The sequence below is a fragment of the Homo sapiens genome, chromosome 8 (genome assembly GCF_000001405.40).
Source record: "Homo sapiens chromosome 8, GRCh38.p14 Primary Assembly".
Lineage (NCBI taxonomy): Eukaryota > Metazoa > Chordata > Mammalia > Primates > Hominidae > Homo > Homo sapiens.
In genome coordinates this window covers 29,202,418-29,229,361 of record NC_000008.11, presented here as the reverse complement: position 1 = coordinate 29,229,361, position 26,944 = coordinate 29,202,418, and the positions used below count along the sequence as shown (strand labels likewise).

At 41.7% G+C, this 26,944-nt stretch overlaps 1 protein-coding gene and 1 pseudogene across 8 annotated transcripts in view, besides 1 other annotated feature; one reads left to right on the top strand and one right to left on the bottom strand.

Annotated features, from left to right (window-relative positions):
* The window catches only part of KIF13B (kinesin family member 13B), a 196,111-nt gene that overhangs the window by 34,027 nt on the left and 135,140 nt on the right, over nucleotides 1-26,944 (top strand). The window lies entirely within an intron of this gene.
* On the bottom strand, nucleotides 9,890-10,457 carry HMGB1P23 (high mobility group box 1 pseudogene 23; annotated as a pseudogene).
* Nucleotides 23,252-23,405: a silencer, noted in NCBI's record as "fragment chr8:29063474-29063627 (GRCh37/hg19 assembly coordinates)". NCBI's record gives its function as "represses an EF-1alpha promoter that drives an FKBP-Casp9 reporter gene in an ReSE screen in K562 erythroleukemia cells {active_cell/tissue: K562}" and the evidence as "EXISTENCE:reporter gene assay evidence [ECO:0000049][PMID:32094911]".

Below are 26,944 nucleotides of genomic sequence, written 5' to 3'. Positions count from 1 at the left end.
CAGAAAGTGGCAGAACAGGGATCTGAACTCAGATCTGCCTAAGCTCGTCTCTCCAAAACTAGATGAGCTCACAGCTTCTCATTGCCTTCTAAGATTTTACAGAAGAGTTTCTTCTCTAAACATTTGGAAAAATGTAACTGGTTAATTCAGATTAGATCAGAACTAAAGACATTCAGCAGTTATTGATTGACATCTGATACACATCACTCCAGAAGGGTGTCCTGATAAGGGAAAGATAAATATGACATGCTTTTTTTTTTTTTTTTTTTTTTTAAAGCTGACATTCTGGAGTTAGGAAAAACCCACATACAGCTAAGTGTGTATCATATTCATTAATTCATTCAACAACCATAGAGTGCCCTCTGTGTGTTTATCAGGATGTTGACCCTAAGAAAACACTGATAAACAAAAGAGAATTTGGTTCCAGCCTTCATGGTCCTTATTAGTCTTGTGGGAGTGTTATGAACTGATCTAAGCCGTTTTGGTCATTTGTAACAAGATATTAACAACCTTCTATGTTTAGAGTTAGGTGAGAGCCTGAGGCCTTCTCCTGCCCAATCACACCACCAGGAGATGTGTTACAATGAAACTTTGACTGGGTTCTGCTGCATCTTTATTAGCAAGCAGCCACAGCATTGGTCATGCCACCTGTTCCTGTAAGCTCAGTGAAGCCACAGCTCTCAGACAAGCACCTTCCCCAGAAGTTTCCCTTGAGACAGATGTAGCAGGATTCAGGTACTCTTTTGATCAAAATTATGCAATAGAATCTGAATTCAAGTCTGGATAGAGCCCTAGCTAATGACAGGGAACAGGATGCTAGGTTTGTTAGTCTTATACTTTGCTGTCCTAAGAATGGAGGAACCTGTATCTCATATATATATATATATATTTTTTTAAGATGGAGTCTGGCTCTGTCACCCAGGCTGGAGTGCAGTGGCGCGATCTTGGCTCACTGGAAGCTCCGCATCCTGGGTTCACGCTATTCTCTTGCCTCAGCCTCCTGAGTAGCTGGGATTACAGGCGCCCGCCACCATGTCCGGCTAATTTCTCTATTTTTTTTGGTAGAGACAGGGTTTCACCGTGTTAGCCAGGATGGTCTCGACCTCCTGACCTTGTGATCCACCTGCCTCGGACTCCCAAAGTGCTGAGATTACAGGCGTGAGCCACTGAGCCCGGCCCATATTTTTAGTCATTATTTTAGTCACACTTTCAACACTATGCACTTTACCAGTGAAAAATTATTTCTAACATTTCTTTTGCTAATTAACAAGCCCTCCAGTTCATGCCCAATGATGTACTTTGAAAGGAAAAAAAAAAACCAAATTATAAAAAAAATTTCCAGTGTTGATCAGGAAAGAAAGGTAGCTGAAGGCGCTAAACACAGCTTCTAGAGCAGACTTAAAAAAAATTTTTTTTAAAGTCTTGCTCTATTGCTCAGGCTAGAATGCAGTGGCACTATCATGGCTCATCATGTACTTGAACTCCTGGGTTCAAGTGATCCTCCCACCTCAGCCTCCTGAGTAGCTGGGGCTACAGGCGTGCACCACCATGCCCAGCTAATTTTTCAAGTTTTTTGTAGATTTTTGGGTCCTTCTATGTTGTCCAGGCTGGTCTTGAATTCCTGGCCTCAAGTGATCCTGCCACCTTTGCCTCCCAAAGCCCTGGGATTACAGGCGTGAGCCGCTGCTGCCAGCCTGGAGCAGAAATTCGCAACCTTTTGTTGGTCATGAACCCTTTGACAGTCTGATAAATCATGTGGACTCCTTCTCAGAATAATCTTTCAAAAACATAAAATACATAGGATTATCAAGGAAACCAGATACGTATTGAAATATACCTAGGTCAGGAGTTCAAGACCAGCCTGTCCAACATGGTGAAACCCCATCTCTACTAAAAATACAAAAATTAGCCGGGTGTGGTGGTGGGCACCTGTAATCCCAAGTACTTGGGTGGCTGAGGCAGGAAAATCACTTGAACCCAGGAGGCAGAGGTTGCAGTGAGCTGAGATCATGACATTGCACTCCAGTCTGGGCAACAAGTGCAAAACTCCATCTCAAAAAATAAAAAATAAAGTGTAAACCACTGTAGCAGTTAGTATAAAATGCTTTTTATTAATAAGTGGCAGAAAATATTAAATATTTCATAACTTGAGATGAGGATTGACTATAATTGAAATAAGTATTTTATGTTGTGATTTAATAAAAATAGGTTAACTACCTTATTGAATCCTTATTGAATAAGGTACATCAAAAGCCTGAAAGAAATGGTATAAAAATGTATCTGTGCATATAGCTGATGCATCCTAAAAGAGTAATTGGTCATCCTTCTTTAGCTATTTCAAAGTACTTTGCCTTCCAATTAATGGCCTGTCTTAGGGGTGAGTATTAACCCATTTATGCCTGAGGTTGCAATTTTTGCAGTCAGACCTTGGTGATGACCTTGAGCAGAATATAAATAAATTAAGAACAGATGAAAATAATTGCTTCCATTTTCCAACTTGGAAATCTACACTTTAGCTACAATTAACAACGAAACTTAAACAGAAGCTATTTGCTAAGAAATTATATCTTAAATCAGACCATTAGTCTGTCAAAATGAAAGTGAAAATTTAAAATATGGAAGTGAAACATGGGATGCAGAGAAGAACACATGTCAGAGACCACGCGGGTGTAAATTTTAACATTTAGTCTTGACTGTTCTTAAGATCTTCACTGCTTTCTGGTAAGTTAAATCATTCTGACCAGCAATCTTGGAGAACTTAGATAAAGAGACACCTCTCCTGGGCCTGGGAAAGTGATGGAATTGCTCCAAGGGTTGGATGGGTGAGTGTCTGGGGAGCGGACACCCATGGGCTTTCCGGGCCACCTACTCACAGGCTCCTAAACAATGACCTTCAAGTGAAGGGCTCCCATGCTACAAATACAAGGCCAGAAGCTGAATCTGAACCCGCCCAGTAAAAAGCTTTTGGACCAGGAACCAGCTGACTGTTAATGCAGGTGGTGAGTTAGGTATGTTTTTATAAAACTCCCATTTAGCTCCAGTCATCTAAAATTCCATCTATAATGTGAAGAGCTACAGACCCTAGTTACTTTCATGCCAGACAGTCATGTAAGTTCAAATTACTTTTATGGTCTCTTGAATCTGTTTATTAGAGAATTTACTGTGCTGCCAGGACCTTCTCTCTTTTCCTGGAACCAGGAAGTTGGGAATTACTCAGGTGTTACATTTTACATCAAAGATGAATCAATCCGTCTCTAGATCCTGCATGTATTCAATGCAGAAGGTAGGTTAGGTATGTTTTCATAAAACCTCCATTTAACTCCAGTCATCTGAAATTCCATCTATAATGTGAAGAGCTACAGACCCTAGTTACTTATATGCCAGGCAGTCATGCTCTTGACCTTAAACGTTCCCTCTCACTTCACCCTTGAGTTCTTGCAAACTACTAGCAAATGGGCCAGATTGTCAGTGTTTCCTTTGCTGCTATCTGGTGCAAGCATCTGACAACTGTGAGCTTAGTCACCATGTACTGAACATTTGGAAACTGTATTACTGGTGTTCCTATCTAGTCAGGGGACTAAGGTGGTGCTTAGTGTAAACATTAGCTGGTGATTACAATAAAATCCTGCCCAGACGAACATTCTTTAGTTGGAGAGAGACGCTGGTAACACAGGAATCGATCCAGCCAGACACAGGAAGGTTTAAAACTGCTGGTAAAAATCTCTGCTTAGAAACACTGAACTTTTATTCCCTATTTTGTGGATACTGTCTAGTCTAAAAACAAATGTTTAGATTTCCAGGCTGGAAAGTTTTTTTCACCTGTTCCTGATGCTTGGCAGGCAGGGCACACCTCCACTGTATCTTCGCCAGCATCATTTCAACAGCCTTTGACCTGATCTCCTATCTCCAGTCACGCTCCCACCTAAGCATCAGCGCAATCTTGCATTGAGTAGTTTTGAGTCCAGAGGAGCCAGACAGACCTAGTTTTGACTCAGGATGTTACTTAATCTCTCTATGCCTATTTCTCCATCTGTAAAATGCAAATAATAGGGTTGTTATGAGGACTAAATGCGTTAATATGCATAAAATGCTCATAACTGTGGCTGGACTAGTCTGTCCTTCACATGCGGAAAAAGCTTCTGTGCCTTCCCGTCCTCCACATGTGGCCCTGCCTTTCTGCCTTCCCACACTGTCGTGCTATTCTCTATCTGAAACAGCTTCAACTCCAAACCACAGACAACAAAGACCTTGTGACATATCTTTCCGTGATGTCTTTTTCAACCTTAAATAAGGAATAACAGTAATGACAACTTTCATTCCTTCTCTCCACTTTTTTCCTTGCAGCTGTAACACATATCACTGTACTCATGTTTGCCAGATCCTCTTACAGTGTCTTTAAAATACTTCAGCATAACTGCATTGCACTTCATGGCTTACCCCTTTGGAACTCCTCATAAGTCCTCACTGTTTGTATTCATTTGTACAGAAGTCTCATCATCCCTATTAAATTATACCCAAAAAAGTGATATAGATGCAGGCATTAGTTTTAATCCACACATAGGAATAACTAATTAACATTTGATATCCTAATTACGCGTACACACTCCAGGGTGGATGAGGTAGCATATGAACACCTCTAATCAAGGATGCATGCTCTAGAATAGGGATTCTTAACGTGGATAGAATGAATGGGGGGGGGTTCTATAAACACGGATGGGGAAAAGGTTACACTTTTATTTCTCAGTAACTTACAAATGAAATTTAGCGATTCCTTCAATTATTAACATAGGTAATGAATTATAGTATTAGCAGTACCTGTGACTTTGTCACCAATACAAATCACAGCTGTTTTCGTATCACATTCTCATTGTTACAAATATCTTTAGATGTTTACATTCAACACAACTTTGAAGTTGAAGCAATTATTCCCAATGCTAGACCTTGTTAGTTAATAATAAATAAGCCACCATGCCCGGCCAGTGATTTACACTTCTATATACTCTCTTCTTTTATTAAATACTTAGGGAAAAAGCCCAGTATTGATGTTTAAGAAAACTGAGGCCGGGCGCGGTGGCTCACGCCTGTAATTCCAGCACTTTGGGAGGCCGAGGCAGGTGGATCACGAGGTCAGGAGATCGAGACCATCCTGGCTAACACGGTGAAACCCCATCTCTACTAAAAAAAATACACACACACACAAAAATTAGCCGGGCGTGGTGGCGGGTGCCTGTAGTCCCAGCTACTCGGGAGGCGGAGAATGGCGTGAACCCAGGAGGTGGAGCTTGCAGTGAGCCAAGATGGCACCACTGCACTCCAGCCTGGGCAACAGAGAGAGACTCTGTCTCAAAAAAAAAGAAAAAAAAAATTGGTAGGCTGGGCGCCGTGGCTCACGCCTGTAATCCCAACACTTTGGGAGGCTGAGGCGGGCGGATCACAAGGTCAGGAGATCGAGACCATCCTGGCTAACACAGTGAAACCCCGTCTCTACTAAAAATACAAAAAATTAGCCAGGCGTGGTGGCAGGTGCCTGTAGTCCCAGCTACTCGGAAGGCTGAGGCAGGAGAATCACTTGAACCCGGGAGGTGGAGGTTGCAGTGAGCCGAGATCAAGCCACTGGACTCCAGCCTGTCTCAAAGAAAATTGATAGAATTCCTTTTCATTCTTATTTATTTTCAAAAATACAATATACCAGAGTTGGATTACTTAATAACATACATTAACCAGAGGAATACACTATCTTTATCATCTGGCTTGTTTTATTAATAGCTGCTAATTTTAGTTACGTGTTAAATTTTATTGCAGATTAATTACTAAGAAATAGCATATTGATCTATCTTTTATCCATTTAAATTGTTAGATATACATAATTCAAATTCGCCCTTGGTTACTTTTAGTAATCTTACAGGATGTATTTTATAATCTAGTTCTCTGTGAAGTGGCTTTTAAAACTTTTGTTTGAATTTTAAAATGAGGCCAAGTTGTCTTGTACAGAAAATGTTTGATTTAGATTTTTTTGTTTTTTTTTTTTTTGAGACAGGGTCTCTCTCACTCAGGCTGGAGTGCAGTGGTGTGATCGGGGCTCACTGTAGCCTTGACCTCCTGAGCTCAAGCAATCCTCCCGCCTCAGCCCCCAAAGCAGCTGGGACTTGAGCGCCACCATGCCTGGCTAAGTTTTTTTTTTTGTTTTTTTTTTTTTTGTATTTTTTTGTAGAGAGGAGGTTTTGCCATGTTGTCCAGGCTGGTCTCAAACTCCTGAGCTCAAGCGATCCTTGTGCCTCAGCCTCCCAAAGTGCTGGCATTATAGGCGTGAGCCATAGCTCCCAGCCATATAGATTTATATGTATATATATAAAATCAATTTTTGATCATAAAGCTGCTTTCTAGATTATATGTCAAATTGTTAGATCACATAACAAATTGTCCCATAAATTGAATCAGCTAAATCTGCAGCTCTAATATTTTGAGGAAAACACATCATGTCACATAATATTACTTTGTCAAAGGTATAATGAAGTTAACAGTGTTTTGTCTTCTCAACCCCTTCTGTGTATAACAGGTTAAGCAAAGTGCCACTAAGTGAAACAGTAGCAGGTGTAATTAACTTGAAAAGTTATGGCGAAGTCTTTGGCATGTACCCAAGAAATTGAGAAAAAGAGTGACTTTTATGATCTGAATCACAACTCTTTTTGTAAGCCATATAGTTTTCCATTATTTGCTTTCAGGAAATCTAATTCATTCTTTAGCTGAAAGATGATTAAAAATAATATTTGACCAGCCTGAGCAATATAGTGACACCCTGTCTCTACAAAAAAAAAAAAAAAAAAAAAAAAAAAAAAAAAAAAAAAAGTCAGGTGTGGGACTTGAGCTCAGGAGTTTAATGTTAAAATGGGCTATGATTTTACTACTACACTTTAGCCTGGGCGACAGATTGAGACCCATTTCCAAAATAAAGAAAACAAAATAATGTTTGATGTTAAAGTACTATTTGTTTTGTTTTGTTTTTTTGAGACGGGGTCTTGCTGTCACCCAGCTGGAGTGCAGTGCCGTGCCATGCCATGAACACAGCTCACTGCAACCTTGACCTCCTGGGCTCAAGCAATCTCTTGCTTCGGCCTCTTGAGTAGCTGGAGCTACAGGCACACAACACCATGACCAGCTAATTCTTTTTTTCTTTTTTTGTAGAGATGGGGTCTCACATTGTTGCCCAGGCTGGTCATGAACTCCTGGGCTCAAGCGACCTTCCTACCTCAGCCTCCCAAAGTACTGGGATTGTAGTCGGGAGCCACTGTGCCTGGCATATATAGGTATTTTTATAGAAAACAGTGATAGAGTGGTTAATTAATAAGAATTTATATTAGAACAAAATTCTTTGGGGAATGTGGAATAGAAATATGAATTCATGGAAAAAAGTAAAGATAGAAAACTACCGACTATTCAAGAAGAGGTTTTTCATTTTATAAAGTATCGATAGTGAATATAAAAACTAAAAATATTATGAAATACCCAAATACCAAATTTTATGGTATTTTGATACCAATGGATATGTTGAAAGGAATTTTGTTTAAAAAACAATATTTTGGGCATTATCCTTTGCAACTATTCAAACTTAATTTTGAAAAATCTTGTACATTGACTTAAAAATGTGTGAGCAGTTACAAGGCTTCACAAAATTCTTTTGGGGCACACGAGCAATAATACTTCAATTACTCTAGGTGATACATGTGTACCTTGGATAATTAAGATTCATATTAAAATCATATTGGATACATATTCATTGACTCCTTGAAGAAGATTAAGTTCATATGTGCAATCCTTTTTACCTCTTCTCCTATTTCATTTTTATATTAGTTTCAGTGCTTTTCTGTGCTGCTTTTTCTTTCCTTTTTTTTTTTTTTTAAATACAGGGTCTCACTCTGTTGCCCAAGCTGGAGTGCAGTGGCACGATCACAGCTCACTGCAGGTCGGGTGCGGTGGCTCATGCCTGTAATCCCAGCATTTTGGGAGGCCGAAGCGGGCAGATCACTTGAGGTCAGCAGTTCGAGACCAGCCTGCCCAACATGGCAAAACCCCGCCTCCACTAAAAACACAAAAATTAGCTTGGTGTGGTGGCACATGCCTGTAATCCCAGCTACTTGGGAGGCTGAGGCAGGAGAATTGCTTGAACCTGGGGGGTGGAGGTTGCAGTGAGCTGAGATCATACCACTGCACTCCAGCCTGGGTGACAGAGTGAGACTCCATCTCAAAAAAAAAAAAAAAAAAAAAAAGAACACAGCTCACTGCAGCCTCAGCTTCCCTGGGCTCAGGTGATCCTCCCACAGCAGCCTCTTGAGTAGGTGACACTACAGGTGCATGCCACCGCACCCAGTTAATGTATGTACATATTTAAATTTTAACATATAAAAATATATTTATTTATAGAGATGGGGTTTTGCTGTGTTGCCCAGGCTGGTCTTGAACTCCTGGGTTCAAGCGATCCACTTGTCTTGGCCTCCCAAAGTACTGAGATTTTCTGGGATGTTTTTACATAACGTATTGATACTCATATTTCTTGTTAAATCAACCTTAAACGTTATCTCTCTACTCTTTTCTTACCAACATTATGAGACCCCGTGTTTCTCCTTCCTGCGCTCTTTTACAAGCCACCTTTCTTTATGCATAAGTTGACATTGGTGTGTATGTTTGTATGTATCTTTTTCTGTCAGTGCTAGACCAAAGGGTGTCTTAGGCTTCCTCGTCCTTCTCTGTGGGCTTATTATCAAAACCCATGGGCTGTTTCATGGAGACTGTCCTAATATAGACTTTTTTTTTTAAATAAAGAAATTTTATTTACTTAGAAACATTCAGAATGTCAACAAACCAGCTGTCGCCTTCCCCTCCTTGCCAGTTACTGAGTAGTGTTCAGTTAACAGAACAACAGTTATTTTATATAAGCTGCATCAGAGACAACTGAAGATGAAAAAGCAACAACCATCCCCATATGTAACTAGCTGTCCTGAGCACTGGCAAGACCTGCTTTAAATTTCCATGCCAGTTTACAGCCCCGTAGAGTACCAGGCAAGGCTAGTGACCACTGGGAATACCATCAGGACAGGGCTCTCTGAAGACACATTGGGTAGTACATTAACTATACAAAAGAAGATACTGCACAGTTTAAAAACAAGTCTCACGTAGCCTTACATTTCAGTTTTTTTCTTTAAAGGAGTGAGTTGTGTACAGGGGGGTTAAATTTTTATAGACAAAAATGTATTAGAACCAACTTATTCATCATCATCACTTTCATTTCATTTTTTATTTTTTGAGAGAGGGTCATCACTCTGTTGCCCAGGCTGGAGTGCAGTGGCATGATCTCGGCTCACTGCAAGCTCTACTTCCTGTGCTCATGTGATCCTTCCACCTCAGCCTCCCAGGTAGCTGGGATCATAGGCATGCACCACCACACCCGGCTAATGTTTTGTATTTTTAGTAGAGATGGGGTTTCACCATGTTCCCCAGGCTGGTCTTGAATTCCTGGGTTCAAGCGATCTGCCTGCCTTGGCCTCCCACAGTGTTGGGATTACAGGCGTGAGCCACCGAGGCTTGCCTTATTTATTTATTTATTTATTTATTTATTTATTTTGGAAACAGGGTGTCACCCAGGCTGGAGTGCAGTGACACAATCTTGGCTCACTGAAGCCTCTGCCTCCCCGACTCAGGTGATTTTCTCACCGCAGCCTCCCGAGTTGCTGGGACTATAGGCACCATGCTTGGCTAACTTTTTTTGTATTTTTTGTAGAGATGGGGTTTCACCATGTTGCCAAGGCTAGTCTTGAACTCCTGGGCTCAAGCGATTCAACTGTCTCAGTTCCCAAAGTACTGGGATTACAGGCATGAGGCACCGTGCCTGACCCATCATCTTCATTTTCTTTTCTACTCCTCCTTTTCGTCTTCATCTTTCTCTTCTTCTTCCTCTTCCTTTTCTTGCTTTTTTGCAGCCTTGATGACTGCCTTTTTCACCCCATCAGGCTTTTCTTGAGTTCATATGCAGTAATAGACTTTTTGTGTTTTCTTTCAGCTTAGCAGCCCTCTGGTCTTGGGTCTGCCTGGCATCGGCAGCAGCGTTATTATTCCACATCTTGCCCAGTTCTTTCCAACATCGCCAGTGCATTGGCTGGGTTGTTCTCCTTTAATTTTTGGTCAGTGCTCAGGACAGAGCAAGAAAAAGGCCAAAGGAGGCTCCTTCTCTGGTGCGTTGGGATCCTGGAACTTCTTTTTTGTGTTCCATGTAGTAGGGACGGAGCTTGTCATTTCTTTTTCTGCCTTTGCCATGTCTGCAGATTTTCTTCTCTTTGCAGACATGACCTTCCAACTCCTGAGCACTTCTTAGGAAGCTCTGAGGAGCTGACTGAAGCCTCTGGCTGCCGCCACTTGTGTTTGCACAGAGGTTGCATATGAGGATGTTTTACCTTCCCTTTGCCCACGCTTTGTTATTTTTTCTCAGCAAGGAGCGATTTGCCCAGCACCTGTCAGGCTCTCCCTTGGCTGTAGTGCTGTCTCTTGAGTGCAGGGCACTGTGATGGCTCATAGCATAAAGTTGAAATAAATTATCTTTCCCTAAATCCCATCAGTTGCATCAGAGTATACCACGTTTTTGTTTGCTTTATATAATCCATGACTCTCTTAACAGCTTTTTGTTTTTTCTGCAGTTTTATTTGTGTTTTCTGGTTCTGTCTTTAGCATATTCTTAAATTTTTGTTTGCAAATTCTTAGCCGTGCCATTCTATTAATTTCCTCCAAAGCTCTGTATCTTAGAATCTTCTGCCTTCTGGTTGTTCTCTAGACCTGCTGTTATAGAGCTGTTGCCTGGGATTTGGTGAGGAATACTTTTAAACTAACATCTTCTGTCTCTTTTTAATTTTTAGCTCATGGTTTCTTAAGGAAATGCATAGTTTAAGGTCTCATGTCTAACAGTACAGCAAGGACAAGATGTTGACAGAGAACAGACGTAGGAAAAGTGGCGTCTGGACATTTGAGGTGCGGCTTATGAGGAAAGCTATTTTTTTAGACAGGTTGTAGTCATGGTTAACCTAATTCCTAGGCTCTGATTTCAATAAACATTCACTGAATGCCTACAATTTGGCAGGCACTGGGCTAAATTTAGGTGCTGAGGATTTCCATTGCAGGAGCTGGTGTGGAGGCAGCAGGATCACCTGTAAGTGGCTGATGACATGTAATAGATGTTAAAGGTGTTCAGGAACCTTGTATTTTCATCCTTAATTACTGTAATTCTCTTATCCCATCCAATAAGCACAGTGTAACGGTGCTTATATGTCCCTAGACACGTAGAGTATTTCACATGTAGGAAACAGGTTTAAGATGTTCAAAGGGGAATCAGTTGACACCCATACTAAGTAGAGAGCAGAGGTGGTTTTAGGAAAAGCACCAAACTCTCACACTGAATATTAGTGAGTGATAGAGCTGATTAATATGGAAAATTATAATGAACCATCTTGTGGGGGGGTGTCCTGATAGCCCCCCACACTGGAAAAAACCATGACATTGCAAATTAATTTCTAGTTGGTGGAGTATGGTGGGGGAGGTTTTGAACTGGGCACCTTAGTGCTTTGTCTTCTGGACCTGCTGTTATTCTGGAGTTTTCTCCAAACTAGTTCACCAAAAAGTAACATAAGACATTTGCATCATCTTGCTGCTGTAGCTAAAAGATGTTCTCTCTTACTTTTGAAAGAAATTCTTTCTCTTTGTTCAGCTCCCCTTTCTTCCCCCTCCTAGTTTTGAACTGAGATTATCACAAGGATCAGTGAGATAGAAGAAATAAATAATAAAGACACTAACACTGAATGCTTATTATGTGCCAGGCACTGTTCTAATCTTCATAGCAATCCCATGAAATAGGCTCTCTTGTTGGCTACATTTTATAGAGCAGGAAACTGAAGCCTGGAGAAGTTAGATTAGTTGCCCAAGGTCACATAGTAAGTGGTGGGGCTGGGATTCACAACCAGGCAATTCAGTTCCTGAGCCCAGTCTTCGCCACTGTGTTTTCCTCTGTCTCATTTCACCTTAGTTACGGATAAAGCTGTAAGAGAAAATGGCTTTCTGTCTGTTGGCCAAGTAGGCTTGCTGACCCCTCACCCTTGAGTGACACACTTAGCAGGCACAGGCAGGCCGGACAGTTGCAGGCCTCCTCTACAGGGTGGGGGAGCACAGCCTGTGTGTACTCATTTCCTTCTCTTGAGTACCACTAATTTGATAGTTCACGTATCCTCTACTAAGAGGTAGAGTGAGACAGCTTAGGGACATCAGAAGTACTACTTTCGGTTCTTCCACATGGAAACATGAGGAACGAGGAATAAGTATTCTTTCCCTAACACTTACAGTGCACTTAAGACAAAGTTTTTTTTTTTTTTGGACTGAATATACGTCGATGGACACAGGCCCAGATATGGAGAAAGGGCAGGTTTCCTCTAGGCAAGATTTGCACGGGGAACCTGAAGCTCACATAGCTTCAGCCCTGCGCCACAGCTTAGCCTTAGTCACATAGGTTTCCCTAGGTCATAGCCCAGTCTCAGGCTGCCCACTTTATTTGAAGGCAAGGGAAAAACAACAGTCCAAATAAGATAATTTGAAACAAGCATCTTTTCATTTAGTTTTCTGCTACAAAGTTGTCTTTAATTTCTTCTCCTGTATCATTTGCCATGGGTGGGAGGGCAAAATATTAAAGTAGAAAGAACATAGTTGTATTTTTTTTTTAATTAAAAAAATCTTTTTTGAGACAGAGTCTCACTTTGTCACCCAGGTTGGAGTACAGTGGCAGGATCTCGGCTCACTGCAACCTTTTACTCCCAGGTTCAAATGATTCTCCTGCCTCAGCCTCCCAAGTAGCTGGGACTACAGGCACCCGCCACCATGCCCAGCTAAATATTTTGTGTTTTTAGTAGAGGTGGGGTTTCACCATGTTGGCCAGGCTGGTTTTGAACTCCTGACCTCAAGTGATCTGCCTGCCTTGGCCTCCCAAAGTGCTAGGATTACAGGCATCAGCCACTGCGCCCGGCCTAGTACGTGGCTTTAGAATGAGAGACCTAGGTTTGAATCTAGCTTTGTTACTGAACAAATTATTTAACCTGTTTGTGATATGCCTTCCTTATTACTCTACAAAGTGGAGAGGATAAGACCTACCTTGTAGGGTTGGTGTATTAAAGTGTACCAGGTATTTGACGTTTAGCAGTTTAAAAAAGGTAGCCTCTATTATTATTATTAAAGCAATTAAAAATAGAGACTTAAAAAATAATTTAACAACTTTAAACGAGCAGGTGAACAGTTTTTTCAGGCAAATCTCCCTTCATCTCCGCTGGGAAAGAGGTGATCAGTATTGGGTGTATTGTCTGTTTATCTACATACACACCCATGTATGAAGATGAATACACAAAACAAATTTTCAGATATACCTCCTATAGGCAATACTAGTTACCTGTATGTGTGTGCAATTTAGTTTTAAAATTACAATTCATATCCTCATTTACTTTTTTCCACCAAGATTATAAATTTGCTTTCAAAGCTTTTAATACTTTAAAACTTTTTGTCGTTGTCCTTCAAGCATTCAAAGATTCCCGTTGCTTTCTTCAAAACATCTTTAGCTTAGTTGACAAATACCATAAACTTGGAAGGCATACTCTTATTAAAAAGGGTCTCACCTTGTCGTCCCTGCTGGAGTGCAGTGGTGCCATCACGGCTGACTGCAGCCTCGACCTACTAGGTTCATACAATCCTCCTGCCTCAGCCTCCTGAGTAGCTGGGACAACAGACGCATGCCATCGTGCCTGGCTAATTAAAAAAGAATTTTTGGTAAAGACAGGGTCTCCCTACGTTGCTCAAGCTGGTCCTTGAATTCTTGAGCTCAAGCGATCCTCCCTCCTCAGCCTCCTAAAGTGCTGGCATTATAGTTGTGAGCCACCACACCTGGTCGGCATACTGTTCTATAGAGTTGGTTCGATCGATCCTGGGACATGAAATAATGAAAGAATTATTTTTTCTTCTCTAAGACAGTTCCTATTGCCTCCCTCCCTACTCCAGGTGTTGCCCCAAATTTGCCATATTTTGCTTGTTTGTTAGGTAGGTTGGAAAAGTCTTTTCTGCCCTCTATCTTCCCTCCCCTTCCCCACATACCACTCACTCTACTTGGAGGCTAGAACATGTTTCCTCCAGGATGTTAGCCTAACTCAGAAGACAGGGCTTCATGAGGACGGGAAAGAGCAGGGAAACAAACATAATGCAACTCATGCAGGGAGCGTGGAGCCACCGGAGCAACAGGTCCTGGAGAGAAAATGCAGTCCTGATGATGTCACAGCCCTGAACAGTTTTGATTTTGTCTCTCCAGCAGAGTATTATTTAGAGGTAAATATTCCTTCTGCCTTGGTTTGGATCACCACTCTATCACAGTCATGCGCCCCATAATGATATTTTAGTCAACAATGGACTGCTCATATGAAGGTGGTCCCATCAAATTATGAAGGAGCTGAAAAATTCCTGTCACTTAGTGGCATCACAGCCATTGGTAAAGTTGTAGTGCTATGCATTACTGATGCATTTATGGTGAGGCTGGTGAAAGCAAACTACTTCACTGCCAGTTATATAAAAGTCTAGCACATACAATTATGCATGGTATATAATACTTGATAATCATCATAAATGACTATGTTACTGGTTTCTGTATTTACTACAGTAGACTTTTTATCATTATTTTAGTGTATATGCCTACTACCCATTTTTAAAAAGGTTAATTGTAAAACAGCCTCAGGCAGGTCTTTCAGGAGTTACTACAAAAGAAGGCACTGTTATCACAGGAGATGACAGCTCCATGCCTGTTACTGCCCCTGAAGACCTTCCAGTGGGACAAGACGTGGAGGTGGAAGACGGTGATACTGATGATCCTGACCCTGTGTGGGCCTAGGCTAATGTGTGTGTTTTAGGTTTTTAAGTCTAATTTTTTAAAAAAGTTCTAAAAATATAAAACTTCTAGAATAAGGATATAAAGAAAGAAGATATTTTTGTGTAGCTGTATAGTGTTTGTGTTTTAACCTGACTGTTATTACAAGAATCAAAAAGTTAAAAAAGTTTATAAAGTAAAAACTTTACAGTAAGCTAAGGTTGGTTAGTTTACTGAAGAAGGAAACATTTTTGAAAATAAATTTAGCGTAGCCTAAGTGCACAGTGTTAATGAAGTCTACAGTAGTGTATGGTCATGACCTAGGCCTTCACGTTCACTCACCACTCACCCACTGACTCACCTGATGCAATGGCCAGTCCTGCAAACTGCATTGATGGTAAATGCCCTAGACAGCTGTACCATTTTTAAAATCTTTTGTATCGTATTTTTACTGTACCTTTTGTATTTTATTTTATTTTATTTATTTTTTTGAGATGGAGTCTTGCTCTGTCTCCCAGACTGGAGTGCTGTGGCTCAATCTCGGCTCACTGCAACCTCCGCCTGCCGCATTCAAACTGTTTTCCTGCCTCAGTCTCCCGAGTACCTGGGATTACAGGAGCCTGCCACCACACCTGGCTATTTTTTTTTTTGTATTTTTAGTAGAGACAGCGTTTCACCATGTCGGCCAGGCTCGTTTCGAACTCCTGACCTCAGGTGATCCACCCGCCTCAGCCTCCCAAAGTACTAGAATTACAGGCGTGAGCCACTGTGCCTGGCCCCTTTTCTATGTTTAGATACACAAATGCCTACTATTGTGTTACAGTTGCCTCCAGGAAATGCCATACAGGTTTGTAGTCTAGGAGCAATAGCCTATACCATACAGCCTGTGTGCATAGTAGGCCGCACCATCTGTGTTTGTATAAATACATTCTATGGTGCTTGCACAGGTTAAAATTGCCCGTAATGCATTTCCTGAACATATTCCTTAAGCAATGCATGCCTGTATTTAATTGTGGACCTTGGGCAAGTTATTTAATCTTTAAGCCTCACTTCCCTCATTTATAAAATGTGGATGATAATAGGATTGATGCTGTAGGGTTATTGTGAGAATTAGAGAAAATAATATGTGAAATGCACTTAGAATAGCTTTTGGATCCAGTAAGAGCACAAGCATTTATTGAATCTAGATTTGAATTCAAGTCTGCCTAGCTCCTAAGCCATGTTCTTTCCATCACACCCCACGATGCACAGCAGCGTGAAGTATGTTATGTAGGTAGTGACCCTACTTTACTACTGAAGTTGCAGAGAGGTTGAATGAGGTTAAGTGACTACTTAGGATCCTAAAGCCCATGTTCAAGGCAGACCATAAACTGAATGAGGGCTGCTTACTCTTAGTGCAGAGTACTACTTCTTATAGTGTCATGTCATGAAGACAGTTTAATATCTTGAATTATCTAATTACCTCTTGTCTCATCAACTAGACTGTTAGCTGCTTGGGACTATTACATCCATGTGCCATCTGATTATACATGCTTAAATAGTTAGAAACTTGAGACTTAAAGGAATAACGATTACTTTAGCATAGTGCCTCAGGTACGTGTGTTATCTAGTATGAACATTAGTAATCAAATACAATTTCCCAAAATAAATTAACACATTAATTTGGGCATCTGGACCACAAAACAAGTATTAAATGTGAAGTTTACAAATATTTACTTACCACATGACCCAGCTGTTCTACTTTTAGGTACCCAAGGGAAATAATAACGAATGTCTACACAAAGACTATGAAGGAGCTTGAATGTGGTTAAAGAGGTCAAAGGACTGAATAGATATGGAACAGAAAAATCAGTGTGATGGGCTAAGGAAGTAGTTTGGACTTGGATAGGAATTAATCTTTATAATAGTCTAATGTGGAGAGAAACTCCATTGAGAAAATTTTTCTCTTCTTTAAAGTCTAAACACGTCTTTAGAAGATTCTCAGCATCATTGGTTGTTAGAGAAATACAAGTTTAAAACTGCAGTGAGAGGCCCCTGTGCTCCCACTTGAATGTCTGTAATCAAAACGACAGACGATGCTGCACTGGGTGTTGGTGAAGATGGGGAGCAACCGTGACTCTCATGTCTTGCTGACGGGAATGTAAAGTGGTATATACACTTTGGAAAACATTTTTACCGTTTCCTAAAAAGTTAAATATACTTTTGGGTATAAACATACTTACCATGTGACCCAACAGCTTTAGTCTTAGGTATCTATTCAGGATAAATAAAAATAAATGTGTACACAAAGACTTATTCTTGAATGTTCCAAGGAGCAGTATTTATAATAGCTTCACGCTAGAAACAGCCCAAATGCCTATCAACTGGTAAATGGATAAACAAAATACTATGCACAATAAAAAAGGAATAAAGTACTGATAACATGCTGGGTGTGCATGAATGAATCTTAAAAACATGCTAAGTGATAGACACCAGGTAGAAAAGCTACATATTTTATAGTATCATTTATATGAAATGTCCAGAAAAAAGACAGTAGGTCAGTGGTTGCCTGGGCCTAGAGGAAATATACTAAGAAAAAAATGTATATGTAAATAATGCTAAGTGTATGACAGAACAAAGCAATTAGAAATTAGCAATTGTAGCAATTAGCAATTCTGGGCTCTATACCAAATGCCACCTGGTGTTTAAGGAGATCTTTCCTCTGTGGCTGGTTGTAACTCATGCCTCCAAGCCCCGTGCAAGCTCTGGGAATTGTCCAGCTTACACATGCTTCCTCAGTACTAGTTGTTTCCTGGTGATTTTTCTGGCTGCTTGGAGTCTCACCTCCTGCATGTGAAGTTTACTCAGCCAAAGACAAAGACTGAAGGGCCCCTGAGCAGATTCCTGGAGTTCTCCCTCTGCATTGCTTCCTTCTCCCTGGCCAGCAGACTCTAGCTGCCTCAGCTTCTCAGGTCTCTCATCCCTGGCAACTCAGTTCTGGCCACCAGGCTCTGGCCTGGGCCAGGAAAGTATCTATAGGCAGAAAACCTGGGCAGTCGAAGGGCTCACTTCCCTTGTTCTCCTCTCAGGGATCCTCATTTTACTCTGCCTGTTGTCCATCGTCTGAACACATTTGCTTCAGGTCTTTTGCCCAGTTTTCTTGCTGTTTATGGCAGGAGAGCTAGAACCAGTTGTTCTATCATGGCTGGGGCTTCACATCTATGGTAAATGCCTTGTCTGATGCCCATGGCAAACAATGCATGGAAACAAGTGCCCTCTCCGAGGTTCTTACCAGCAAATGGTGCTTTCGTGCAGACGAGAGGAAGGTGACCCCTCTGGCCAGACCAATTAGAAGAAGGCACCACTTCTGAGCTGTCTCAGTCTTACGGAAAGCACATGGTGCCTTTTTCTTTGCACCCCTCCTAGGCCGTGGCCCTTTTCTGCCGGGCCATTGTGGCAGGGGCTGCTCTTTAGCCCCCACTCCCTCTGGGTCAGGTGCCTCCATGAAGGACACAAACCATACAACTGCAGGCCCTGGCCAGGTGGTCTCATTTTACCAGGTACCTCTTTTCCTGCAGCAGTGTTTAGCATGTCAGTTGCTGAAGGGAAAACAAATTAATCCTGTTATCCTCTAACCCATTTGTGTTCTTTGTGCTCTACTTGTGGCTCATATTGATGAAAACTCTCTGAAACATTCTTCTTTGGTATTTCTCATTCACAGGAGGGGTTAAATAAATTTGGCTAAAAGTTAAAGGAAAAGGACCAGGGAAAAGGTCATTCATGTTATTTTATTTTGAATCACCATGGAAATAAAAAGTCTCAGGATCCCATCTTAATATCTTACAACCGAATATTTCCTTGTTGGTTCTCATATTGAAACAAATGTCATCTGCCATACACTTTTTGTTTCTATCAAACTAAACGAAAAATGGAGCCCTGTAAACTCTTGGAAAGAAGATGCTTTCTTGGGCTCATTATTTGGGGGCAATAAGGCTGGAAGGAGACGTAGGGTGTGTTTGGTTGTGATCTCATCTGAGAAAGGATCTGAACACATTTCTGCTGGTGTGCCTGGACAATCAGTTCTTCCATCTTCAAGTCATTTCTAGAAATGGTGAAGTCTGTAGCCCTCTCTCTGGTGAGTAGATCTGTAGGGCTGTCTGTGTGCTCTGGAATGGTATCTGGAATTCAAGTGTTCTGGGCAGTTTACACAAAGGTATACTGAATGTCAATCCTGTGAACTTTTACAACTCATTTTAGATATTTTTAGATTCTATCCCCTTCCATCCATTACCCTCTGTCTTTAATTATATTTCCCATTTCTTCCCTGATCCATGGTAGTCTGACTACTCTTCCTACTACTTTCCTGCTCTCATGTGGTGGATCAAGGATCCTTTTTTTTTTTCTCTCTCTGAGACAGGGTCTGGCTCTCTTGCCTAAGCTGGAGTGCAGTGATGCAATCATGGCTTACTGCAGCCTTGACCAACTGGTCTCAAGTGATCCTCCTGCTTCAGTCTCCTGAGTAGCTGAGAATACAGACGTGTGCATCACCACACCCAGCTATTTTTTTTTTTTTTTTTTTTGTGGAGAGGTAGGGTCTCACTGCCCAGACTGGTCTTGAACTCCAGGGCTCAAGTGATCTTCCCAACTCAGCCTCCCATAGTGTTGGGATTACAGACATGAGCCGCCACATTCAGCCAATGATCCTTTAAGTGATCACCCTCTATCTTTCTGTGCCCTAGATGCTAGTTCAGAGTGTACTTGATGCTCACCTTTTAGTTGTATGTCCAAAGCTTGTGCCAGTTCTCATTGGTTAGTTGTGAGGCAACGGAAGCACCTTAAGGGACTGTCACACAGATATGCTTAGTCACACCCTGCCTGGAGAGGGGAGTCAGGAATCGTCACACAAAATTACAGGAGATGAACTCAAGGAGTAATTAAAGCAGCTCTTAGAATTGGTCTTTGGGAGCTAGAGACCCAGGCCTGCTGTGCTAACCTCCCCTTTCACTGGCCTTTGTGACATTGGACTCAGGCCACTGTAGGATGGTGGGAGGAGCTTGTTCTTTGGATTTCTGAGGCTTAGGTAGTTTGGATGGCTGTGTGAGCTGCAGAGAGTAAATGAGATATGGCTGAGTCCACATCAGAATGGAGAGACAGATGTAGGGAGCCTTCTCGCCCTCCATGAGCCTGTTCTTTCTGTAGCCTGGGTACGACTGCCCATGGCGCCTTCTCTATCCAAACTCTCACCTCCCAGTGGTGCCTCTCATCTGGTTTTCCTCCTTCTCTGGCAGTTCCTTTTTTCAGTGTCTTTTAAAGTTACCTTATTGTAGAAACGTAAACTTGCAAGTTAATGTTACTATTCTGTTGGTGTCTTGCATTTACATTTGATCCTCAGTGGCTCTACTTCTTACCTAAGGTGTTAGATGATCAGCCTATGGAAATAAACTAAGACCATGCAAATGCGAACAAACAGACTGTTAACCAGAGTGCACTCCAGCAAGGGAGTTGGCCACCATCACTTGGGTTTGGCAGATGCACAGAGGCAGGCAGGGGCACGTGAAACTTTATAGTGGAGAAAAGGAAACCTTCGAGGGTTTTCTGAGACGAGGCTGTGGCCTGGGGGAGCTGGAAGCAGGCTAATAGAAGTGGATGTCTTAGGTGCTTGTTGTGGGGAGCATACTTGACTTTCTCTTGCTGATTCTGAATGGCAAGCAGGGGCAAAAAATAAGGAAGCTAAGAGTCACTGACCAAGGTCCCACCCTCATGGGCCAATGACCAAGGTTGTGAATTAGAGCTCTGGTTGTACGTGGTCTGCCCGTTGTCTATTTGAATATTCAGTCTCTCCCAAGCCAACGCTGACCTAGAACATGGAGCCCCATAGCTCTTCATAAATTGTCTCTAGCACACTGTTTCTTAACCTTTTTTGGGTTATAGACTCTGGACTATTTTAAGAATCTGAAAGCTATAACTCCTCTGCCTAGAAAAAACCAAAAAAACAGTAGCATGGATTCACAGACCCACTGAGGCCCAACCATGGACCACAGATTTCATTTTATTTATACAGATTTAACAATTTTATCTTTTTTGTGACTATGATGCAGCATTAATCCGTATGGAGTATATAGACTGCTACCTCTTTCTTACACCTTAGAAGTAATTGCCAATAAATTAATATGCACATATGTTTAAATAGCACTACTTTTATCCTATACCAAGTAGGTGATATGGTAGGTGAGTCAATATGTGATACTGATGAGAAACCTCATTAAGCACCAAAAAGGATACTTTTTTGGTCATTTCAACCAATTTTTATTTAAAGCTTTTTAAGTTCTTATTTCCCTGCCATCAGAATAAATTAATGGAATATCATGGCTTAGCATCCTTTTCATGATGAACTGCAAATACATGATTTTCTAATGTTGAGATATCTGACTTAACTGGATTGTCAGCTCCTTGAGGGCAAGGACTTGTGCCTGTTCTGCAGCCTCTCAGGAAATATCGAAATGAACACTTCAGGGCTCTCCTCACATGGTGCCTGCCCCAGACTGTCTGCCGTGCTTTCCTCATTCACGTTTCTCTCTTCATTTTTTTGAGCGGTAACTATTGGCTTCTATAATAGTAGCCATCATTTCAAACTCCCCCAAAACTCTGATTATTGGAAGCAGATGAGCCAACCCCTTCTGGTCTGTGACCTTAAATTAAGTGTATACCTGGTCTCTTCTATAGAGAAAAGCATGGCTTCTGTTTTTCTCCATCTCTGAAAGCATTTTTTTTTTTTGCTTTTGATTCAAGTATATTCTGAATAGTTGATAAATGGAATTCCAATCTTTGGATAAAAAGGTGTATTAATGAGTCTGTTGAAACTTTTTTTTTTGGATGAGTATCAGGACACTGGGAGAACTATAGCAGGCATGGGGACAGCATAAATCAGGACTGGACAGTTTAGACAAGCTCGTCATTTCATGTCACGTCCAATAAGCATTGAGTGCCCACCAGATGATGTCAGGCACCCGGAAAGAAACGCCTTCTGTGTCCTCAGGGAGCTCGCAGTCACAGAGAGGGCAATATAGCTTTGATACTTCCTTAGAAAAGAAGACCCAAGGGAATTGGAAGTCCCTGGTAGGGGACAGAGAAGGTCACTTTTGTTTTGAAGGAGAAGTAGGCTATCACCAGGGCAAACAATGGGAAAGGCACCCTGGTAACCGAAAGGATAGAAGTGACTGAGCCTGAAGGACTTGCTGAGCTTTTAGAGTAATGCAGTGGAGGCATAAGCACGGGCGTAGGAGATTGAGGCTGGAGAGTTGGGGAGTGGTGGTGCTGTGGAGAGCCTTGCTTGCTTGCTTAAGGAGTTAGAATTTCATCTGCGAGGGAGTTGGGAGCCATTGAGGGGTTTGAGGCCAAATTATGACCACCAGATCAGTGTGTGGTTTAGATGTGTGCTTGGGTGAGAGCACAGCTAGGAAGTTGCGTGGTAAACCAGGAGGGCATGAAGCAGGGTGGCGTTGTGCCCCATCAGCCACATGGCCCACTCCCTTGCTTCCACTTGGTCACCATCAAACGTCCTTTCAGCAAGGCTTCTCTTGACCACCATGTTTAAAATTTCCACCCCACTTCCACTTCCGCAAACCCCATCCACCTTCCCTGCTTTATTTATTTCCTTAGCACCTATTATATGACATATTTACTCATTCATTCATTCACTCATTCATTCTATTTTTAATAATTTAAGCTCTTGCAGGGCAAGGTTTTTGTCCCGTTTTTCCAGGCTGTCTCTCCAGGGCTTAGATTAGTGCTTGGCACGGCAGACTGTAAATATTTGCTGAATGAATGACTATCAGAAGGAAAAAGGGAGGTTGGGGTTGTGAGACATTTCAAGGTGAAAACCATATCTTAGGACAGGGATAAACAAAGCCATCTTCAGTTAAGCTGTTTTTTCCCTTGTGAGTAGTGAAATAGGTAGTCGTGAAACTTTTGGAAATTGAATTTTCACTCAAGGAAGTTAAGGAAATCTTCGCTAAGCAGTCAATTTTGGGAGTAATTATAGTGAATTTCAGTTTCTCTCAACCTGCTGGCTGACTTAACCCCAAGACATTGCATCATGAGACAGAATCACAATAATGATGGCATCTAACATTTATCAAGCATGCGTCAGCATACGTGTGCCATGCACTTCAAGTATGCCTTTTGTTTTTCTTTTCAATTTTTTCATAGAGACAAGGTCTCACTATGTTGGCCAGGCTGGTCTGGAACTCCTGGGCTCAAGCGATCCTCCCGCCTTGGCCTCCGAAAGTGCTGGGATTACAGACATAAGCCACCATGCCCCTATCCCCAGCCTCTTTTTTTGTGGGGGGAATTAGTTAATTTCATTTTTTTTTTAAAAGGTGGGGTCTTGCTCTGTTATCCCGACTAGAGTTCAGTGGCACAATCATAGCTCACTGCAAGTGCAAGCTCATCAGTTCAAGTGATCCTCCCAGTTCAGCCTCCCAAGTATTGAGGACCACAAGTGCATGCCACTATTCCCTACTGAGTTTTGTATTTTTTTTTTTTTGGTAGAAATGGAGTTTTGCTATGTTATGCAGGCTGGTCTTGAACTCCTGGGATCAAGTGATCCTCCCGCCTCAGCCTCCCAGAGTGTTGGGATTACAGGTGTGAGCCACCACGCCTGGCCTCTTTTTAATTTGAAGTACCAAGCTTTCCAACTTAGATCTAAACTCTAGACCTACCACTGGTTATAGTGAAGACAAAGGCTTTAGGTTTAATTTGATTTCATAGCTATTAATTCTAATGACATTACTGCTGCGAGGGACATTTGAATTTGGGATTCCTTGTTTAGCCTAGCTGGGATTAGGTTTTGGAATCTTAAAGCAGATTGTATTATGTAATGGGGTGTGTAGAATCTGTAATATAGCCCTGACACGATTGTGATGGCTCTGTCTGTTAGATTCTTAGGACTTGGATTTGGAAGTGTTCTCCTTATTTTCCTATGAATTTGTGAGTCGGTGTTTTTCTTCAAGTCTGAAGAAAAGAAAACTCTTTTCTGTTTTCTCTTAATAGGAGGAATTTGAAACTGCAGGGGCCTAGTAGGAGGTGGTAGTTGTTCAGATCTACCTGTTGCTGCTGTGTGGGAACTTAAGCCTAGCATTTCCAAGTCTTCTGAATTTTCAAGAGAATTTGAAAATCCAGATTTTCTAATGTGATGTCTTCTAATTTTCTACTTTTGATCAATACAGTGAGGCCTGAACAAAATGCTTGTGGACCTTTTTTTTAAAAAAACTTTTTTGGTGACAGGGTCTTGCTCTGTCACCCAGGCTGAGTGCAGTGGTGTGATCATAGCTCACTACAGCCTCCATCTCCTGGGCTGAAGCGATCCTCCTGCCTTTGCCTCCCAACATACTGAGATTACAGGTGTGAGCCACTGTGCCCAGTCGGGCCTGTAGACCTTGAGTGTGTGGCCTCTGGTTCGGAGATATAGGTGTAGAAAAGGTGAAGGGCTGGGGGGAAATTAGTTAATTTCATATTCAGTGAACATTTTCCCCAGATCAATCTAATCAAGCAGAAATTCAGTCATATTAATCTGATCAAGAAACACGATGGAAAATAGGGATTAAATTGAAAACCACAAATACTGAGAGAAATAAAAATTAGAAGCTTTCTTTGCTTGTAGTCTAAGAATATCTTAATCCGCCTTTTTTTTTTTTGGTCTGTGGCCGAAGGCCAGATGTCTGGCCCAGGGCCTCAGCTCAGTAATGTATTCTAATCTCTGTATATAGAATACCTTGAAGTTATTTGAATTTGCCATGATTAAAATGAGTGTGTATTACCCTGTGAATGTGGGATATGAAATATACTTCATCAAAAACCCTCCACAAATGAGTCAGTATTCTTTGGCCAGATTTAAACTTTCTTTTTATTTTTCTTTAAAATTTTTATAGAGATGGGGGTCTTGCAGTGTTGGTCCTGAACTGCTGGACTCAAGCAATCCTCCCACCTCAGCCTCCTGAATAGCTGGACTGCAGGCCCACACCACTGTACCTGGCTAGATTTAAGCTTTCTTATAGTGAAAGTGGACGATGAAATGAAACTCATTCTGCCGGTGTGTTTCACAGATGAGAAAAGACAAGTGATTTGCAAGTGATTGAGTTAATACTGAGTGTATTCTTTGAATTATGCTATCCCAGTATATGACAGTTTGAAATTATGGAATTTATATATCAGAGTCTTCATATTTCTAAAGTCCTATGATTATGAAATATACTAGTTGTGGTTCAGTGGCCATATTGCTTGGATGTCCCTCTGTTCTCAACCAGTTGTTGTTTGTGTGGGTGGAAGATTCGAATAGAATGGGGTTGTCAAACTTTTTTCTACATTTAAATAAGTTTTCTCCAAGGACTGCAAATTACCAGTATCTACCAACTGTCCTGAGTGGGATTGGACACAGGAGATGTCTAACTGCTCTTTTCAAACAACCTTCCTTTTCTAGGTCTCCTCCTACCTTCTGGGGTAATTGGCACCAGTTTCAGTCTTTTCTTGTATTCTGTGGATGCATTTTCTATCTTTTTTTTTTTTTTTTTTTTTTGAGACGGAACTCCCTCTGTCACCCAGGCTGGAGTGCAGTGGTGTGATCTCGGCTCACCACAACCTCCGCCTCCCGGCTTCAAGCAATTTTCCTGCCTTAGCCTCCTGAGTAGCTGGGATTACAGGCATGCACCACAATGCCCGGCTAATTTATTTTGTATTTTTAGTAGAGACAGGGTTTCACCATATTGGCCAGGCTGGTCTCGAACTCCTGACCTTGTGATCCGCCTGCCTCAGCCTCCCAAAGTGCTGGGATTACAGGCGTGAGCCACCGCACCTGGCGCATTTTCTGTCTTAATGTCGTGTGTTTCAGTTGTAAATATCTCCAAGTTTCATTGAACATGGAAACATTGTTTTCTTTATTGTTTTGGACATGATTTTAGAGACAGAGGATGGTGGTGGAAGTGGTTTTATTTTCCCCATAATACTTCTTCGAGAGTAACATAGGCTGTTTAAGAAAGATAGTGTCTAGGGAACTCATGATTAAACTGAGAAATTTAATCATGAGTTTAATAAATGAATAAGTGAAGTTTAATAAATGAATAGGAGTTAGCCTGTAGAGTCCAAGACAGAAATAGTCATGTATGAAAGCCCTGAGACTGAAAGATTGGTACCTGGGTCAGTCCCACATGGGTGAAAGGAAGACCAGTAAAAGATGTAGTTGGAGATAGAGAAAGGGGCCAGATCACCTGAACAGCTTAAGAAATATTTGCAGAATAAGCAAAAAGCCTTGTGTTGGACATTCCCGTAAAGGAAGAACACTTTGTCCTTCAGAAGCTTATGGTCTAGCCGAGATGACATGTAAAAGTTTATTCTATCATGAGACAAACCGAGTGGTCCTACATAAGCAGTAGAAACAGTTTCGGCTTTATGTAGGAATTGGGGAAGGAAATCACTTTTGTATAGGGTTCAAGTGGATGGATGCTTGAGGGAGATAAAGTGTGATCTGAGCCTTTCTCTTGTAGGTGGGCCTTAAGCAAGCAGAATTGCTAGGGGGAATGGTGTTACCTAAGTTAGGTATATGGAGGACAGGGGAGTGACGTAGCTGAGTTGGGGGAGATGACGCCTGAGCCTCCAGTGGTCCACAGGTGGCACTGATAGGGATGTTGGAGGCTCACTGCTCCTTTTCTTATTGTCAGTGAAAAGAGTTGAACAGTGAATCTAAGGCAGCTTCACATTCCTTGTGCCAGTTCCCAGCAGATGCTTTCTGCTCTCCGCTTAGACATTCCACTGCTAGGGGAACTGGCTGTCTCTTGAAACAGTGTTAATTATTCTTATACTAAAGAAATAACCCACTTCCTATAATCCCAGCACTTTGGGAGGCTGAGGTAGGCAGATCACCTGAGGTCTGGAGTTCGAGACAGCCTGGCCAACATGGTGAAACGCTGCCTCTACTAAAAGTACAAAAATTAGCTGGGCATGGTGGTGGGTGCCTGTAGTCCCAGCTACTTGGGAGGCTGAGGCAGAAGAATCGCT